The sequence below is a fragment of the Homo sapiens genome, chromosome 6, assembly GCF_000001405.40.
Source record: "Homo sapiens chromosome 6, GRCh38.p14 Primary Assembly".
In the NCBI taxonomy this organism is placed as follows: Eukaryota; Metazoa; Chordata; class Mammalia; order Primates; family Hominidae; genus Homo; species Homo sapiens.
Window position 1 is genome coordinate 77,486,499 of NC_000006.12, and position 20,518 is coordinate 77,507,016.

Below are 20,518 nucleotides of genomic sequence, written 5' to 3' on the forward strand. Positions count from 1 at the left end.
GATTTATAAGCTCTTTAACTGTCTCAAGGAAGTTTCCTCAATATCTGGAAATTATAGCAAGTTAATGGGCATAGACAAGAAAAATTAGGTCGAACTTATCCTCAAATTTGGAAAATGTACCAAAATGACAACATGTATTTTAGCCCTTAAAATAATGTTTACACATATTTTAATATGCTAGATAATATGCTGATTTATAACCTGGCTCAAATTTTAATCTTTAGTAATTTATGTTGTACATCTATGGCTTTGTGATACTTGTTTTAAAAAATTGTATTTAGTAATAGGAACAAATCTCCTATGCGCAGCCTAGAAAATGTTTCCAGATAGAGTGAAATAATTTACATACTACAAATTTCTCCAAAATTTTATGTTCATATTGACTACACATTTGAGAAAATTGTGCTATTATCTCACAATAAAGACTAATACTTCTTAAAAATGAAATATCAGCTTAATTTGAAATTCCAGTTTTCTGAATACTGTATTTTAAAATTATAACATTATTGTATCTATATTTAAATGTCATATTTCAACACAAATATTTCATACTTTGTTCAGTCATGAACCTGAAAAATATTATTGTTTACATGAAGATTTTTTCTCCAGGTCACACTCTTAGCATGTTCTGGCCAATTTTACTGATTTAATAATGTAGTTTGAACATCAGCAAAACTGTATTATTCAATAGATAAATTTAATATTTACAAAGAAAATAAAGCAGAAATTATCATGCTCTATGGCTTTCTGAGGATGGGATCATAATAGTTTATTTTCACACAATAGATTTGGGGCCAAGCACTGTGCTGGATTCATAGTAGGAAGCTCAATAACTATTTGTACCATGAGTCAACAATAGCTATTCCAAAACAGAGCTGGGAGCATAAAATAAATACATCATTGCTAGTCTGAAGATCTTTATGAAGGTGCTTTAAAACTTAATATAACCTGCCTCAGTGCAGTAAGCAACATGTCAGTCTCATAAAATTTATAAAATATTCCTCAACAGTCATTACAAATTTCATCTGATATATAAAATTCATACATTACTTACTTTTTGAAGATCATTTTTAATGTTTTCATATAATGTTTCCACATAAGTCTAAAGTTTTCCTATAAAAATCTTTTTCTATAACTCATTGAAATTATTTTGGTCTTATTTTTAAAATCATTGTTTTTATTCTTCAGTTTAGATCAAAATATGCAGCTTTAATTGCCATTTAGTAATGCCATTTATTCTCTTCAAGGGGACAGGTAGAATGGCAGTTATGAAAGCCAGAGGAAATCAAGATATTTGGCTTCTATGTGATCTTAGGTATATATAATTTATTACCTACTATCAGTTGATTGCCTGCATAATATCCATTCTTTCTTTTTCCTTATTAAGATAAAACTTGGGTGATTTGCCCACCTCAAAAAGTACATTTATTCATCTTCTTTGTAGGGAAATAGAGTAATATAAAAGCAGAAGTTCTTGGGCAGATCCTGTTTTGCAATTAAAATGGCTGGTGTTCCTGCAGCCATCTTGCACAACAAGGAAGACTTGAGCATGGCAGCTCTCATGCTCAGGATGTTGAAGCAGAAAGACTGAAAGAGTCTGTGAAACTGTCATTCTAAATCTGTACTGCCTACCTCCAGACTTCTTTAACTCTAGTAGGTCACTGCAATTTCCAGACTATGAGTTAGCAGCCAAACACTGTTCCTAACTTTCTTAAAAGATAATATTGACACTTAGTGAGTACAGTATGATTATAGCCTAGTCATAAAATGCTTCCATTACCTTATTTTAAACATTAGTCATAAATGCTAACTGATATCCAAGGCTTGATTAAGAAGTAACTGTGTACACAGTTTCCTTCATTCTCCAAATAGCTTTGGAGCAGCAACGCATTAGGGCTTAGAAATCAGCAGTATATATTTCAAAACATTTATATTGAGCTAACCTACTAAACAATGTTTGATTAACCATGACGGATAAATCAATAACTTTTTTAAATGCAATTTGAAACTTACATGTTTAATTTAATTACGTGGTAAAATAAGTGCAGTAGAGTTATCTAGAATTTTCCTCTTTTCAATAAAAAATGCATATTTGAGTGATTTTTTTTATCATAATACACATTGTGTATTTTCTTTTTTTTTTACTTTGGAGAAAGTTATAAGATTATCTCATCAATAAAATCTTTTTTGTTCTTGATTAAATAAGTGTTTATTAAGAACCTCCACACAGACAAAAGATGTAAAAGGCCTGATCCTAGACTGAGGGAATTCATGATATTGTCTCCAAATTGTGTGAGAAAAGTGCATAAGATCTTTTCTAATTATGTTATACTTTTGTTAATGCTGTCAACTTTTTTTCTAAGAAATGCCATTATAGATTGTGTCTATTACTTTCTACCTGTAAAAAATTTGTGAAAATTGAAAACATGAGCTGATATTTTGGTGCTGTAGGCAATGCATCAACTAGAATCTTAGCTTTCACTAGACACTAGTCAAAAGCACTATTGGCTGGGATTTTCTTTTTAGGATTGAAAACAAAAATGTGAACACCAACTCCTTTCTCCTACTTCAATTCAAAACTTTGCCTAGAATTGAGTCTATTAAAAAGTGAGAGAGTAGTTTTGAATAAATAGTCAAGAATTATTTATTTTTGAGATCTTATTGGGAATAAGTAACTTTTAAACTTTTGGCATAAAAGACAAGACAGTATTTCTTTCTAGCACATCCAGACATCTAAATCAATACATCACATTTTTCTTGTTTTAAAAATATAGTCCAAAATAACACATGCATTAGTGTTTTATACTTCCTCTCTTGAAAAAAAATTCAAGATGTTAAGGTCAAAATCATCTTCCAAAATGTATCAGTTTGTTATTTCTACAACAGAAAATGGTCTTTGGATTGGTGTGACATCTGTCCTTTAAGTTTGCAGTAATTTTAGTCTTCTACAATAAGCACACCATCACTTTGCGTTAGAAAAATTTTCAATTTCAGGTGATCAGGGTGATTGAATCGTCTGGATTGAATAGGTTACCTATTGTCAAAAATGATAGACTGGATTAAGAAAATGTGGCCCATATACACCATGGAATACTATGCAGCCATAAAAAGGATGAGTTCATGTCCTTTGTAGGGACATGGATGATGCTGGAAACCATCATTCTCAGCAAACTATTGCAAGGACAAAAAACCAAACACTGCATGTTCTCACTCATAGGTGGGAATTGAACAATGAAAACACATGGACACAGGAAAGGGAACATCACACACCAGGGCCTGTTGTGGGGTGGGGGGAGGGGGGAGGGATAGCATTAGGAGATATACCTAAATGTAAATGACGAGTTGATGGATGCAGCACACCAACATGGCACATGTATACATATGTAACAAACCTGCATGTTGTGCACATGTACCCTAAAACGTAAAGTATGATAAAAAAAATCATTGCTTTAATAACACATTTTATTCTTAAGTCTTTTTGGTTTCAAATAAATATATAAGATATGTTCTGTGGACAATATTAAATAGCTGCTAGTAAACATTTCAAAGTATGAAGACATGTTGACATTTTAAAAAAGGAAAAAAAATCTACCTCTTTTGGTTTTCAGTAGACTCTTGCCTAGTGCTCTGTAGATTCATATTTATTTCTGTTGCATTTAACAGTGTTCACTAGGATACTTTAACATATTCAGTTCTTGTTTTATAAAAAAAGCACTCTTTGTACAAATAGCAAAGACATGTTGGTCAGATCAATTGACCAAAATAAAACGTACATTTACATATTATCAGTTCTTAAAAGAAAACAATCAAGCATCAGTTAAAAATAAATATCAAAGAATAGAGGTAATTCCTGATATTTTTCTCTAAATTGTGTGATAAAAGCATATGAAATCTGTTTCAATCATAAGTTTCAACTTGGTTCATTGTATCAATTTTTTCTCTAAGAGATGCCATTATAGATTGTACTTATTACTTTCTACCTGGGAAACCTATTTGAAAATTCTTTAAGTTTTAACTATAGAATAAAAATAAAGGTAAAAGTTTAAAAATTTGCTGATTATTTCATTTTTTATGGAAATTTATAGTCAGTATAATCCCAGAGCAATGTGCAAATATTTTCTTTTTGCTTATTCTTGGAAATATGTATGTTCATGCTTTCTGAGGAAAACTTATTTTTCCCATATGAAACTGCTCAATTTATCTGGAGAATAGTTTTTACCTGACTGCTTTGCTCATCTTCATACACACTGCACTTCCTTCTTTATTGACAGGCTGAATTCACCTGAACATAAAATTAAGTTTATAATTAAATGATTGTATTTTTCTCTCTCATCTTCTAGTATTGGATTTAAAAGCTGTCATTGATCTTGTCTCCCTAAGCTATGAACAAAATTGTTAACCTACTTTTCAAAAACACCATTGGTTCTACTCTGTGTGGCTTTGGTTTTTAAAACTATTCACTGTGCAAACTGGGGTGGATATAGTCCTTCAGAATTCAGCTGAGCTATTACTACAAAAACGTAAATGGGAAGTGAATATTTGGGTTAGCAATCAGATTTTCAAGAAACTTTTACACCTAATAAGTAACCATGTCTCAGCTACTTTTTTTTTACGGGAGCATGTGTTTCATTTTTACTCTTTCTACTAAGGCTTCTGCAGATTTTTCAATATTCCTATATAAATTTATTTTCTTATACTTCAGATGTCATCCCAAAACAATACAAATCCCATACTTATTTGTGAGAATAGTTTAGTTTTTAGCTTGTTGAATTTTTTTTTTTTTGCTCTGCTCTGTCTCATTTGGAATAAAATTAAGAAGAAAGAAAATCCCAAATACTATCTATTCCCTTTTCTTTCATTTATATAATCTCAGGTTGTTTGTTTGTTTGTTTGTTTATCTTCTCAATGATAAGAAACTGGTTTTTATTAAGACTGTATTTTATGTGCCATTTTCCAATAATGTGTGAAGTTAACATTTTCTTCTTCTATCGTCAACAGATTTGTGATCCATTCAAGTCCATTTATTTGACTTAGCCTCACAGATACTTCCTCAATTTTCCCTTCCACCAAGTTAGGATCAATAGCATCTCCTGGGCATGGAGCTGTCTTGGCAGTCTCTGATCACTGAGCTTTCTCAGGAAGTACTCTGTCTTTTTGAGCAGAAGGATTTTTATATTAAGGTGAGTAGTCTAACCAGGATAAATCATTCTTTACTCACTTTTGAGGAAGTGTATTTTGGAGGTGTTTTTTGGTCTTTACTTTTTTAAGTTTTTCAGATATTCTGCTTTATACACAAGAATATGTGTTTCCCAGATTCTCTTCTTAAGTAGGAGAAAAAAGAATGTGAGCAACATGTTGTAATAATTAGGAATCTGTGTGTTGTCTACTGGCTAGCTTGTTACAAGGCTTAGGATACCACTACTTAATAGTTCTTATTTTTTAATTCCTTCTTCAGCATTCATTCATGATTATTGACCCTTACCTCTTATGCTTAAGAAGGAGTGTGCCAGCTGGCCAGGTGGGGTGGTTCATGCCTGTAATTCCAACATTTAGGGAGGCCAAGGCCAGTGGATCACTTGAGGTCAGGAGTTCAAGACCAGCCTGGCCAACATGGCGAAGCCCCATCTCTACTTAAAAAAAAAAAAAAAAAATTACCTGGATGTGGTGGTGGGTGCCTATAATCTCAGCTACTCAGCAGGCTGAGGCATGAGAATTGCTTGAACCTGCGAGGCAGAGAGATTGCAGTGAACCGAAATCGGGCCACTACACTCCAGCCCAGGCAAGAAGAGCAAAACTCCATCACACACACACACACACACAAAAACATGCCAATGGGAAAATTGATTAAAGTCCCAAAAGTCATTATCAATTCTACCAATGTCTACGTCAGAGATTGGCCAACTGTAACTCATAGGTCGATTCTAGCCCACTGACTGTTCTGTGAAAAAGTTTTATTGGAACACAACTATGCTATATACAAGATTGTATATAGCTACTTTTGTGCTAGTGTCAGAGTTGAGTAGGTGTGACTGAGAATGCAAAGACTTGAAAAGCCTAAAATATTTATCATCTGAACTTTTAGGGAAAAAAAATGTTTGCTGACCCCTAGTCTACAAAATAAGATTGGTGAATGTTCCCTTTATAAGGTACCCGGAAATACAGAAGGCCTTTATCTGTTTTTGAATCCCCTCCTGGAAATAGCTGGCACTGTGGACTTCAAAGCTCCGGGGTGTGGTAGTGTTGACAGATCTGGGTGTATGAGCAAGTCACTCAGCCTCACCAAACAGTTCCACATAGTGAGCAATCAGTAAATATGACTTTTCTTCTTTTCTCTACAAGGAAGCTTTATGTTGAAAATATTAATGTGTAAACCCTGCTGATGAGGGAAATTAGGTGCTTAAGATCTTAGAGAAAGATCTTTACCTAGACTCAAATAAACCATTTTCATAAAGTTTAGTGCTAATGTACCAGAGTAGTTAACCAGTCTTCAGACATTTCCTCAATGCTTAGCATCCTGATGTTGCTCCAGCTAAATTTGAAGTGTCAAGTTTTCTTTCCTACTTCTTCATCATCCATTGTTACCCTGAAATACTTGTTACCTTCTGTCTGTTTCTTGCTACCTTTATTGCATGTTTTCTATGCAATATAATTTTCATATAAAACAGACCTCCATGTACAAAATTAGAACACTGCCTCTTGAATTCATATTTCTTCACTAACTCTAGCTTCATTTTTGTCCTAAGGCAATATAGATAAATGAAAAATAAATAAGCTGTCACCAAAAATTTTGAATTTCATGGTTTCCCTTTTCTAAAACAAATTGGCTTGAAAAATACTGAAATTGTCAATTAATTCCTTAACTCAAACATATGTTTCTATGCTTTTAATTCTGAATTCAACTTGTAAAATAGACCTCTTCTCTGATGTATTTGGGTACAATATTTAACTTTGTAGATTCAAAGAGGTGTATCTATCAATTTAACTGATAAAATGTTGACTAACTGAGGGAATTTTCCTATATATGAATCCTAAAATTTAGAAAAAAATAGGAGAACACAGTTTTTAAAGAAAGCTGTTTGTTTTTTGTCTTTCCCTCGTAAAAAGATGAATGAGCCAATAGATAGTGACTATCCTTATTACACATGCTAGATGAAGGGCACAGTCACGTTCCAGTGGTATTCTCTACCCCAGGGAATGCACCTGAGCCATTTCTAATCTCTTTGATAAATGCTACTGCAGTTCAAGTTTCAGAATCAATTGGGAAAAAATTTGAAGTGGGACTTCTCCTGAAGCAGTGGCAGGTCTGTTCTAGACAAGCATACATAGTAAATCAGAGTTTTCATATTTCATTGCCTGAAACTAACTCAAACTGTCAGTATTTGGCCAGGTGTAAATCATGCAGTTAAGATAGAGGATAGCAAACAACCTGAGCTTCAATATTAGATACTGGAAAAGAATTTGAAGATCAGGCTCTTTGAGAAATAATCAATTGAGAAAAATCAAAGTTAATGCCACTATTAAGAAGGTTATAATGCCAAGTATACAAATTATAATATTAAAATAGAGCCAAATAGTAATTAGGTTGCATAAAAAATAATTATTATTATGAGTGAATCTCTTTTAATGTATTAATTTGATTAAAAGAGTTGCTGAGTATGTGAGTTACAAAGGCTTACATTTAGAGATAAAAATAATAAATATTTATATGAACATAAAATAATCTGAATATCTACTGGTAGTTATAGGTCCTCTTTTATTGCCACTGATTTTTAATAGATAGAAAATTTACATTGGTACTAGCAATACAGAGGTCTCTGCAGTCTAGTGCAGGATCCCTATTTATGTTCTTTCTTAAGGGAAGGCTTATGAGTCCACCTGAGGGTAAGGACACACACATTTCTTTTCTCTCACCTAGATAGTGCTGAATATTTACAAACTAAGGGACATTTAGAGCTATAATGAGCCTTAGAATTCATCAGTTCAAGCTTTTCACTTTAGAGATGAAGAAACTGAGGCTGAATAATGATTTTAATGACTTACTGAGGATGCAGCATGACATCTCAAAAACTTCGGGATGGAATTCAGAGAGCTATGAGTTTGACTCCTACTCTACAAACTCCATTTTATTAATCTCCCTGTGCCTCAGTTTCTTCCTTTATATGTGGAAAAATAATATGAAATGTTCTCTCTCTCTTTTTTTTTTTTGAGAGAGCTTTCCATTGTTTTAGCCCTGGACTCACCTCTTCATAATTTAAACCTTGGAACCTCCATTTGTCCTGGAGTTAGTTATCATATTAGACCAAGTAACAGATTCCTAGCTTTTCAGCTCAACAGGTAAGGTCTAAATACAAGACTGAAAAAGATAAAAGTAGAATTAGTTGGAGGATAAGTTGTTTCCTGGTTCTTCTCTAGTACTTCCCCCCATATCCTGCCCATTTGATAAAGACCATATGATCTGAGGAGTGAAAAGAGAATTGGGGAGTAAGGAGTCCAGCAAGGAAGTTGGCCTGTCTCTTCATTCTGTCATCTTGCTATTTTAGAGATACTTGGAGGACTTCTTCTGTCCTCTCTGAACTGAAGTGGCTAACAAACTTGCTGGTGTTCCTCTAGCCTTAATAGTGATAGAACAGAGATAGAGTAGGAATGTTAGGGGCAGAGTCAATGCTCATCAAGAGCCCCAGGTCTCCCACGGCCAATATAGCAGAACAAGAGAACAACTAAACATTTCTTTGCCTTTGAAAAAGGATCAAAGGCCTGAAGAAGGGCTGTGCATAGGCCAGCACAACCAATGGAGACTAGAGATCAAAATCAGGAAGAACTACCTGAACTATCTCCTGGCATGATGTCCCAAGGTCAGGCAGGAGATCTGACACCTCTGTAGAAGTAGCAGGGTTAGAAGCTAAAGACCAAAATAATTAAAATCCCATCAATTGATGGTTCTATATCTCTGTGAGGTCCAGTAGAAACAAGGTCACTCATGTACTCTTTGCCAGTGCTTAGTGATATTTCTTAAAGACCCTTTCACATCTTGGGTGAACATTAGAGCTAGTGGCTTGCAATGGGCAGGAGAACAAATTAAAATGCATGAAAAGTTACAGAATTTCACTACGCTTACCTGAAAAATGACTAGGTTATGTTTACTTTATGTGACTGATTAAGAACTTTGAATCAGAAATTAGACTGATTAATAAAAAATAAAGTTACCTGTAATCTCAGCACTTTGGGAGGCTGAGATGGGCAGATCACCTGAGGTAGGAGTTCAAGACAAGACTGGCCAACGTGATGAAACCCCTTCTCTACTAAAAATAGAAAAATTAGCTAGGCATAGTGGCAGGAGCCTGTAATCCCAGCTACTCAGGGGACTGAGGCAGGAGAATCACTTCAACCTGGGAGGTGGAGGTTGTAGTGAGCCAAGATCGCGCCACTGCACTCCAGCCTGAGCAACAGAGTGAGACTCTGCCTAAAAAAGAAAAAAACAGAGTTTTGCCCATGTGAGTATTTGAGTGTAAAATAGTTACCTGTATTAATTTCCCAGTCCTGCTGCAAATAAATTATCACAACTTAGTGGCTTAAAAACAATATAAATACATTATTTTATAGATGCTCTGGGTGAAGAATGAAAGGGTTATGTTGTCCACATCAGTGGTGGGAACCACAAATAAGATTTCCCCTTGAAGCAGGGTATCTTGACCCAAGGCTGTATCTGCCTGTGACTAAGGGGTATTCCTGTTTTAGACCAAAGAGAACTGAAGAAAGAAAATGCAAATCTGTTTAGGGTTGCATTATGGATGCCAATCTGAGCATTCTTAACACCGTTTTTGTAAAAGAGAGAGAGAGAGAGAGAAGGATATTCCTGGACTGACTGATACTATGGTGCCTCATTGCCTGAGGCCCAAAAGAGCTAGCAGAGTCTGCAAACTTTTCAATCTGTCTGAAAAAGATGATGTCTGCCAATATGTTGTAAAAAAAAATTTTTAAAAAAAATTTAAAAAAAGCCCTCAAAAAAAGAAAGTAAGAAACCTGGGGCCAAAGCACCTGAGATTTTTACTACATGTCCTGAAGCATAAATGCTGGCATATTTCTCTGAAGAAACAGCTTACTAAGAAAAGTAAGGAAGAGGTTGTAGAATATGCTAAGCTTTTGGCCAAGTAAATGAAAGAGGCTAAAAACAAAAATAAAACCATAGCAAAACAAAAACCCACCAGGAACACAGACTGCCCTCTCTGTGAGCTTCTACTTGTCTGAGTCTAGTCAAAAGCCAGTTTTTTTTTTTTTTGAGTAACAAATAAATAGATCAGTCTCCCTCACAAAATTGCTAAATTAAATTAAATCAAGGTGTTGGCCAGCTGCATTCTTTCTGAGGTTCCAGGAAAGAATAGGTTTTCGGAGATTCCTGCATTCCTTGGCAGATGATGCCTTTCTCCATCTTCAGAGACAGCAGTCTAACAACTTCAAAGCTCTCTCTCTGATCTTTTCCCTGCCTTTTCCATCTTTCCATGCACCCTTGACATTATGGTGGGTCCACCTGGATAACGTAGGATAACCTCCTCAGGATCCTTAATTTAATCACACCTGCAAAGTCCCCTTTGCCATGTAAGGTGACATCTTCACAGTTTCTTGTAATTAATTAAGATGTGGATATTTTGAGGAGCCATTGTTCTGCCTACCCAATATTTCTCTGTGTGTGTGTGTATGAGAGAGAGAGAAAAAAATAGTGTGTATCACAAACAAGTGGTCAATTTAAATATTCAAGCTTCTATCCTCCAGATTAGCAGTTGGTTATTAAAACCATTTATTAAGCCATGAGAATCCTGATTACTTTCAACTGCATAAAAGAAGCCTACCTTGGCTAGAAAAATGAATGTAGAATAGCTTCGTTTGATCAAATACAAGAATTAGAGTATTATTCCTAAGAAAAATTTTGTTAGATATTTATAGCTACTGAATCTTTTTTAAACATAAAACGAAAAACCAAGATTCATCATCTCATTAAAAAGAAATGCTTTTCCTCTCCAGACTGACAGTTTCCTTCACTGCCTGGTCCTAGCCTGTTTACCTACCCTTCCAATCCATACCTTTCTTTCATTTCTCCAGTTCAAAGCAACATTTAGCTTTATTAACTCACCTGTCATTCTCCGAAAAACATCTCTTTTGGCTTTGTTTATGCCCTGCACTCCACTTGCAAAGAACATTAAAAGTTCTTAAAACCTGGCCATACAACACTATCCTCATCTTTTAAGACTATAGCAAGTTAGCCATACATTTTAATGAACAGAGTATGTAAATATGATAGTTCTCCTATTTATTAATACAGAAATTATTGGAGAGAAGGATTTTCAACAGAAGTCACCTCTTTTTCAATCCTTCAGTTCTCAAGAAGTGGAGCAAATACTATCTTTATATGCTGGGAGATCCCAAATAAATAACTAAAACACCTCTATAGTTCTGATGAAGACTTTTACTCCATGCTTCAAAAATTCATTTATATTGTTTCTCGAGTCGCTATGCTCACAGTTTTGTATTAAAGGATGCAATTTAAAAGGAAACCAAAATACAAATAAACCAATAACCCTACAATCAGCATGTAACCGGAGACAGATTAAAAAAAGAATTTGCATTAGAGCTCCTGCTGGTATATATGTGCACAAAAGAGGAAAAATACTTTGAACTATAGGGCAGAGCACTTATAGCAAATGTTATGTCTCCCATGACAGTTTCTAAGTTGCATTATACCACAGGTTGAATTAATTTCTCCTTCCCCAGGTCACTCTCTGCAGTTTTTGTGCCCCTACTTTGGAATTTTTCTTTATATACCTTGATTCTGTGTATCACTTCCTTCTAAAGTTGTGAGTCTTGGGAAGCCAGAAATACAGATTCAATCATCATGATATCCCTTACTGTGGGAGTGGGTGATGTGAATAATTAAGACACATATTAGGTGCTCAATAAATATTTCTTAAATTGAGATGGAAGAGGATGATCTTAGGTTACAAAAAGAAAGTCAGAAGAAATGCAAATTTCCTTGAAAATTTAAAGTCAATACATTTTAATGAACAGAGTATGTAAATATGACAGTTCTCCTATTTATTAATACAAAAATTATTAGAGAGAAAGATTTTCAACAGAAGTCACCTCTTTTCCAATCCTTCAGTTCTCAAGAAGCGGAGTAAATGCTATTTTTATATGCTGGGAGATCCCAAATAAATAACTAAAACACCAGTATAGTTCTGATGAAGATTTTTACTCCATGCTTCAAAAATTCATTTATATTGTTTCTGGAGTCACTATGCTCACAGTTTTGTATTGAAGGATGCAATTTAAAAGGAAACCAAAATACAACTAAACCAATAAGCCTACAATCAGCATGTAACAGAAGACAGATTAAAAAAGAATTTGCATTAGAGCTCCTGCTGGTATATATGTGCATAAAAGAGGAAAAATATTTTGAACTAGAGGGCAGAGAAACACAACAGTAGGTATTTAAGGGGTGCATAGCATGATCTCAACCACCCCTGGTTGCTGATGATTGTCGCCTAGCCTATTCAATGAGATTCTGTCTAATACACGGGAAAAATTAGGCCCCTCACCCACCCTGGAACCATAGTCAAACATTAAAAATAACAGAAATAAAACAGATAGTGAAAATTACCTTTTTGAGAACATAATAAGTAAGCTTTATGCCAGTTTCTGCAAATTAGCTTCTTGATTCTGTGTGTTGGAGAGAATCCTGGAGCCACATACAGGGTCAGTAAAAAAATGTAGTATGGGAAAAGCTCATGTTGGTAGGTGTATTAGTCTGTTCTCACACTGCTATAGAGAGATACCTGAGACAGGGTAATTTATAAAAAATTTAAAAAGAGATTCAATTAACTAACAGTTCTGCAGTCTGTACAGGCTTCTGCTTCTGGGGAGGCCTCAGGAAACTTACAATCATGGCCAAAGGGGAAAAGGAAGCCAGCACATCTTACATGGCAGAAGGAGGAGGAAGGGAGAGTGAAGGGGGAGGTGCTACACACTTTCAAACAACCAGATATCCTGAGAACTCTATCACAAGACAGCACTAGAGGATGGTGCTAAACCATTAGAAACCATCCCCATGATTAAAACACCTCCCACCAGGCCCCATCTCCAACACTGGGGATCACAATTCAACAGGAGATTTTGGTGAGGACAGAGAGCCAAACCCTATCAGTAGGAGTGAGGGTAACAGCACACAGGCCATCTATTTACTTGTGAGGATCTAGGAACCTGCAGATGGTCACATGGGTGTTTACATTCAGCTCAAGGCACTCATTTCTTAACTCCCACTATGAAATTTTGATACCTACACTATGTTGAATCCAGGAACCACTAGGCAGCTGAATAGCAATTCATGATAGTGAGGCCTCAAAATATTCCATTCTAATCTGTGTCAAGGAGTTTATATCTCTGCTTTCCAAATAGAAACTCTGGCCTAGGGTGTGCAACTACTTACATGGTGCGAGGTACTACCTCCAAATGTGGCCTCTATGCAAACATTCAACAGCTTTTCATAGCTCTTTCTGCATTTTTCAATGACAGATAACAATAGCAGTTTAATTTTGGAGTTACAAGTTGTCATTTTAATATGCGTTATGATACACTCTCAAATTTTATTCCCCTAAATTGTTTTCATTTATGTTATAAAAATAATTCTTCTGTCCCGCTCTATAAACCTCACTAAGTTCTATTCAAGCCTGCCTCCTCACACCACCATAGACAACCCCAACACACAAAGCTATTAAAATAATTAGTCGATAAGTTATTCCTTTATTAAAAGGGATTTTACAGTCTTCATTTTCAAATATTTCACTAAGTAAAAGGTTATCTAGATGGCTAATAAGGCTGATTCTCAAAGATGGCATATATAACCACAAGTTAAAATATTTGGTTTCATATTTGTTATAGTAAAGACAAAAATTTATGCTAAAGAAAATAAGTAAATTATTATAAGACTACTAAGGTCTAGGACATATTAAGTTTAAAAAGAGATCATTAATGGTTAGGAACTAACCCAGCACATTCTTTTGTGAACTTAATATATGTTATAATAAATACATCTTAATTTTTTGACAATGAGATTTTCAACTTAGGAGTGGGGAAAAAATTGATCAGACTTAGTCATGACTGCCATGACAAGAAGAGTTGTGAAAGTACATTTTATATAATCAGTTCATATATATTCTTTTTCTATTTCATTGGCACAGAGGAGAAAAAGCCCTAATTAGTAATATTGTACTTCCCCAGGAGACAATATGTTGAGGTCAATGATTAATTACATTTGGGAACAAATTGGCAAACCCTTTATTGCTTTCATGTTTATCAAATAATGGATATTGAAAAGACTGTACATCAATGTCCATTTAAAACTACTAAATATCTGGGAAATAATTCTGTGTGAAAAACATAAGTATAAGCTATTGATTTCCCTCAAAGACATAATGCATTGGGGTAAAATAGAAAAGTGAAGACAATAGAATGTATACAATATTACAGCTAATTTTATTTGGATAACAAAATTGGTAATGTCCACTGAAACTCTAGATCCCCAAAGAATAGTTCCGAGATTCCATCTTATTGACTAGAGATTTGCGGCATATCTTAGAGCAAGTCAATAGTATTCTTGGATATAAATGCATTGACTTAGGCATTATTTACCATAGTACCTAAAACTTTAAAAGAATATTTAGGATCTTTGTGGCACCCAAGAACCTGTCTCTCTCTTTCACTCCAAGCTGCTCTGTTTGGGACAACAAAAAGAGCCTCTAGCATGCTTAACATAAAAAATGACAATTTATTGTTGAAAGTCAATCAAACTGCTCATGTTAAAACTGAGCCTGGCACAGCTACATATCCCGCACCCCATCCACATTTAAATGTTCAAACTATCAATATGACGCATCCAACTTACAGATCATGATTGGACTTGAAAAGTAACATCAGCATCCAGAGGCACAAGGACGAAAAGACAGGTGGCAAGATCAGCCTAACCTGGCTGGAAAGAGGATTTTGTCACTGACATTATGTAAAACTGCTGGTACATGGTATTCTTGGAAAGCATTCTGATATGTTGTTAGTTTTATTATTGTTTTTGTACTCTCTGTGGATACTGTAGCTCATTGTTGCATACCCTGGTGGACTGCTCCCACTGCCACACTCCCACCTCTTCAATCACTTAGCTTGCTATTGTCAGCATCTATGTTCCAGAAGCAGCATTCCTATTCTCAATACAGTTATGCTACATACCTATCTTAATCTTAACTACTAGGGGAAAGGTGGCTTGTACATAGCCATGAAGCATAAGGAAAGGAGAAAAGCTAATATAAAAATGTATTGTTGAGATCACTGCTAGGGCAACAGAGGCTCAATTCCATTGACATGCTGAGAAGTATACAGAAGGCCTCCCAGAATTGTTCAACTTAATGGTAGGAGCTGTAGTTTTATTCACCAGCTTCCATACTGATTTGCAGAACTTTGCCCCAGGACAGTCTAATGGATTTCTCCTGCTTTCCTCTCTTCATTTTCTTCAAATTTGATATTAGTTATCATATTAGCAGTAGTAGTTGTTTGCCATTTTTATTCATGCAGCTAGAACCAGACTCAGGATAAGGTGGTGTTATGTAAGCCACCACTTATCAGACATCACTTTGATTTCACAATATTCACAATGCATTACAGTTTTGTAGTGACTTCTCAAATGTATTTATATTTAATTTTTACAATCACACTATGTTTTTTTCTATCATTATTGTCATCATAATTCTCACTTTAGAGATGAGAACTCCTTGCCTAAAATCAACACAATTAATAATTTGTACGGCAATAACTGAAACTCATTTGTATTACATTATTTGTATTTTCTTCTTTCTACATTATATTTTCTTTTTTAAAAGAAATAAGTCACATATCTACCCATTTGATATTTTCACAATCTATAAAGCATACTGATTGGATTTTTTAAAATTTTATTGTGTTGAGATGGAGTCTCACTATATTGCACAGGCTGGAGGTGCAGTGGCACTACCTCGTCTCACTGCAACCTCTGCCTCCTGGGTTCAAGTGATTCTCCTGCCTCAGCCTCCCAAGTAGCTGGGATTACAGGTGCCCGCCACCACGCCTGGCTAATTTTTGTATTTTTTAGTAGAGACAGGGTTTCACCATGTTGGTCAGGCTGGTCTCGAACTCCTGACCTGAAATGATCCACCCACCTCGTTCTCCTAAAATGCTGGATTATAGACATGAGCCACTGCTCCTGGCCAGAATATATATATACATATATATCCTGAAGAAACTAGGGTTGTATGAGTTCTGGGCATTAATTGTAATAAAAATGGAGGCAGAGAACATTTACATCATGATAGGAGCTTCAGCTAGGGCTAAACCATTCACCTGATTTGATTCCCATGGTCTATATAGCCCGTTCAAGGGTGATGTGGTAGCCAGCCTTTAAAATAGGCCTCAAAGATTTTTGCATCCTGGTATTTAGTGCTTCCCTCTCACACTGACTAGTCTGGTCCAGGTAACTAATAGAATATTGTGGAAAAAGCAGAGTATGACTCCTGAGGCAGTATCGTAGAAACACATTGCCTTGCTCTCTATTACATTAGTCATCTGGAGCAAGTCATTGCCATGTGGTGAGGATACTCAACAAGCTCTGTGGCTAAGTTCTCATGGCAAGGAAATTGCATTCCCAGCCAAGTTAGTGCTGGCCAGCAACAGGCACTAACTTGGCTGGGAATGCAAGACAGCTTGGAAATAAATCCCCCAGGCTCATTGATGCCTTGAGATGACTGCAGCTTAATGAGAGATCCTGAACCAGAACCAACCAACAAAGCCAATTCTGGATTCCTGACCTACAGAAACAGTGTGGGACAATAAATATGTATTGTCCTTTTAAGCTGCTAAGTTTTTAGTTAATTTGTTATATAGCAACAGATAGCTAAAATAAGGCCAGAATCTGGAAATACTAGTTCTGCACTGGTTTTCATTACTTTGGGAGTACTCAACTGTGCTGTGTTCTTAGAACTAACAAATAGAAGTAAGATTCATGATGAATTCTGTCTTCTAAGATCCATTCTGTGAAACTCTTTCAGGTGAAATTTCCTAATAAGGATGTACATTGAGTATTAAAAAATTAAATGCATTTTTCTTATAGTTCATAATGAAACTGCTCTATATAAATCCCAATCTATTTGATAACAAATAGCACAAGTTTCCAATAACCTATATTTCTTTGTCTCCCTTTGTCATCCCAGCTCAAATACAGCACTTCAATAACAATTTGAGTGACCTAGGCTTGCAGCTGACATAGTGTCCAGGTGATTGCCAGCTAATCAAAGTGATGAAATTTATCAATCTGAAATAATTCACCTGAAGATGTACAGCTATAGTACATATTATGAAATTATTGGGAAGGTGCAAATTATATATTGTGGAAGTGAGTGATCTAAATAAAAAACTGCAAAGTAAGTTAACTAATACATGAAGCATTTTAAATCAAGCAATTTTAAGATGTTGAGTGAGAAATAAACTATCTATAAAAATAAAAGTAAGGGAATCTATGAAGACAGTTGCAACACATTATAAAATACAATTATACTATAATAATTTTGGGAAAGATTATTATACAAAATACTAATACCTAGTTTCTATGTGGTATTCTATGTATTGTGCTAAGTGCTTTACACACATTATCAGAATTAATTCTCAAAGTTAATTCTTAATTTATTCTCTTACTATTGAAGTGGCCACATTGTCTGGTGTATACACCCTGGGGTTAGTCATCTCATGCTGGGAAAATTTAGGACAGGGACACACACGAGGAGTTTAGGAGTGGAGGTTTAATAGGCAGAAGAGAAGAGAAAGAAAAACAGCTCTCTCTATAGAGAGAGAGGGGTCTTCCAAGTGGAAAAGGTTGGCTGGCAGCGGAGGCACTGGATTTCATAGTTCAGCTTGAGGAGTCGCTGTGTGATTTATGTGGAGCTCACAGATTGGTTCGATCAGGTGTGACATTTACATAGTGCGAAGGAAAGCTGGTTGCCCCACCCTAATCTTATTATGCAAATGAATTATCCTTGGCCACCGTCATCTTGTCTGCCCCTTACTGTACAGGTGACTGGCAAATAAGGGATGGTGGAGCCCCCATCTTGAACATGTCTAGTGCTTAGTTCCTGCTGACATTCACCTGTGCAAGCTTGCAGCTTGCTTGTGTATGTCTGCAGCTAGACTTTACAGTCTGCTCTTTGTTAGAAAATGATTTAGGGCTGCTTTTCATTAAGAAGAAAAGCCTTACCCAGGACTCTCATACGTTTACTATCTATCTAAGTGATTTCTTCTTAACTCCTATATCATTCCACCCTCTGGAGTGGTCACCCTAACTGTTGTTAGGGGTTATTGGGCAATGACTCTTTCTGGCTACTTCCTGCTGAAAAGGGGCATCATGCAGGGAACAACAGCAGCTGGGGCTCCTCTTGGGGTCAATCCAAGGGTCCTCAGAAAAAAGGTGTGTCCATGCATGGTTCAGTCTGCAGCACCATTTTAAGTTTCATTGCTTCTAGGTAAGAGGAAACAATTTGAGTTATAATATTGAGTAGACAGGGTTCAAACATTAATATAGAACATATGAGCAAGAGAGGACTTAATAATGGAGCTAATCAGTTCCACAAAAAAGACTAAAATTCATTAAAGAGCAATTGTAGCCATCCAGGGCTGGAGCCTGCATTTTTTCTTAACCTGTTAATGATTTTAACTTGATCTTTAAGCACTTGTGGGTTTTCTTCTACTTGACTAGAGGTGTTGATCTAGAAGCAGCATGTTTCATTTAAGACTGAACAGGCACCCCCTACCTCGGCTGTAAGAACATCCAGGGCTCATCTATTCTGTGCTACTAGTGAGGCTAAAGAGTCTATGGATTAGACTTCTATGGATCCTACTGTTGCCTTCCATCCTCAATACATCATAATGAATATATTAAGTACTGACCTTTCAGAAAGAGGAATACCAGCAAACCAGAAGAAGTATTCCTCTTATTATAGAATTTCCCATCCATGATCTTTCTAAAATGGGATTGTCATGTGCATGCCCTCCCCAATTTTCTCTTTTGGTTAAATCTCCATATGAGGGCATGGAAATGATAGATCTCTTTGTTTCGTGTATCTGAGATGGTGCACTTTCTAAAAAGGAACTTAGATTAGGGTTGTCCCTAGATGATGCATCCTTGTCAGGGGAATTTAAAAGTAACAGGTTGGGGACCACTGCTACTATAGTATAGGTTCCTTTCTAGTGCCTAGGGAGGATTAAGGAGCCACAATGGAAATATAATCCTGTCTCTTGAAGGGATGGTTTAAGTTGTGACCTGTGAGGGACACAGGCAGATCTTTCTCATATCTTAGAAGCTTTTCCCCCTTATATATAATAGGGGCATCTTTGGGATGGGGATATCCATACTCAGAATAGTCATTCACAATGCGATTTGGAATCTTACATGCAAAATTAGAAGGGTCCACCCAACAAATGAAGTTTCAAAAAATTAACATTATATGCCCTGGCCAGTATCTCAGATGATCTTTGTGGCAAGGGCTGTTGGTACAGATGTCTCCAGTTTGCCCACAAATTCGTAGGCCATTACTATTAGCAAACATCATACAAGGATCTGGAATTCCATGAGGGGACATGTTTGGAAAGGCCCATGTGTTATTATTTACATCATAATCAAGGTGGTTACTTAGAGCATGCCATTCTCATTGGGACTTCCAACCAGATGGAGCGGCTAGATTCTGAAAGCCCCCCATAGGGCTTCTGATCCTTTTAGATCATGCTTATGGCACCTTCTTCCTCAAATCTTAGAACTATCAGCAATTACAAGTGTGATATTACAATATTTGAGATCTCTAAAGTATGGTTCTTCCCCACTGCCTTTAAAGCAATGGGAGACATTTGCCATTACCCAGTCAACTTTCCCAGCCTGAGGTTGTGAGGCTTATATTTGGGGAGAGTATTCCTTGGCACTAGGGGTGGAGTGCTTTCCTGAGCAGAGTTAGTTATTCAGTTGAAATTGCTCCTATACCGTGTCCCATTTATACCTCATAAATCTTTTAGGATTAAAGGTAAGGCTAACAAAAGGAATCCTAAGACAGTAAGTTCTGGGTGATCAGGAGGTTTCTTAGTGTTATTAAACTGAGCAAACTACTTGGGACAGACCCAGCAATTAGTCTTACTGTACAAATGGGCCATAGCTGATATTGCAGGAGCTAACGGGTGTGATGTATCACTAAACCCAATAAAAAGTCCTAGCAGACTCAGTGATAGTAAACCTTTCATGTTCCCTTCTTGTTGGTAACTATTATCCCTGTAATTATGAGTCAAAAAGAACCTCCGATATTTGACAGCAAATCTCAAGAGAAAAAGTAGAAGTGACTGAATGGTAGAGGTGGAATTGAGTAGGACAAGTTGCCCTTGCTCATTTACTTATCTGTTATGATTTTCAGCTTAAGGTCTCCTA

General features: G+C 35.9%; 1 long non-coding RNA gene and 1 pseudogene across 1 annotated transcript; both read left to right on the plus strand.

Moving 5' to 3' along the window:
• Window positions 1-1,170: 1,170 nt before the first annotated feature.
• On the plus strand, window positions 1,171-17,574 carry LOC124901493 (uncharacterized). The gene is made up of 5 exons (XR_007059926.1): window positions 1,171-1,315; window positions 2,207-2,301; window positions 4,999-5,180; window positions 15,287-15,443; window positions 17,274-17,574. It is a non-coding gene; the product is annotated as an uncharacterized LOC124901493 (long non-coding RNA).
• Window positions 9,600-9,964, plus strand: RPS6P7 (ribosomal protein S6 pseudogene 7; annotated as a pseudogene).
• Window positions 17,575-20,518: the final 2,944 nt, after the last annotated feature.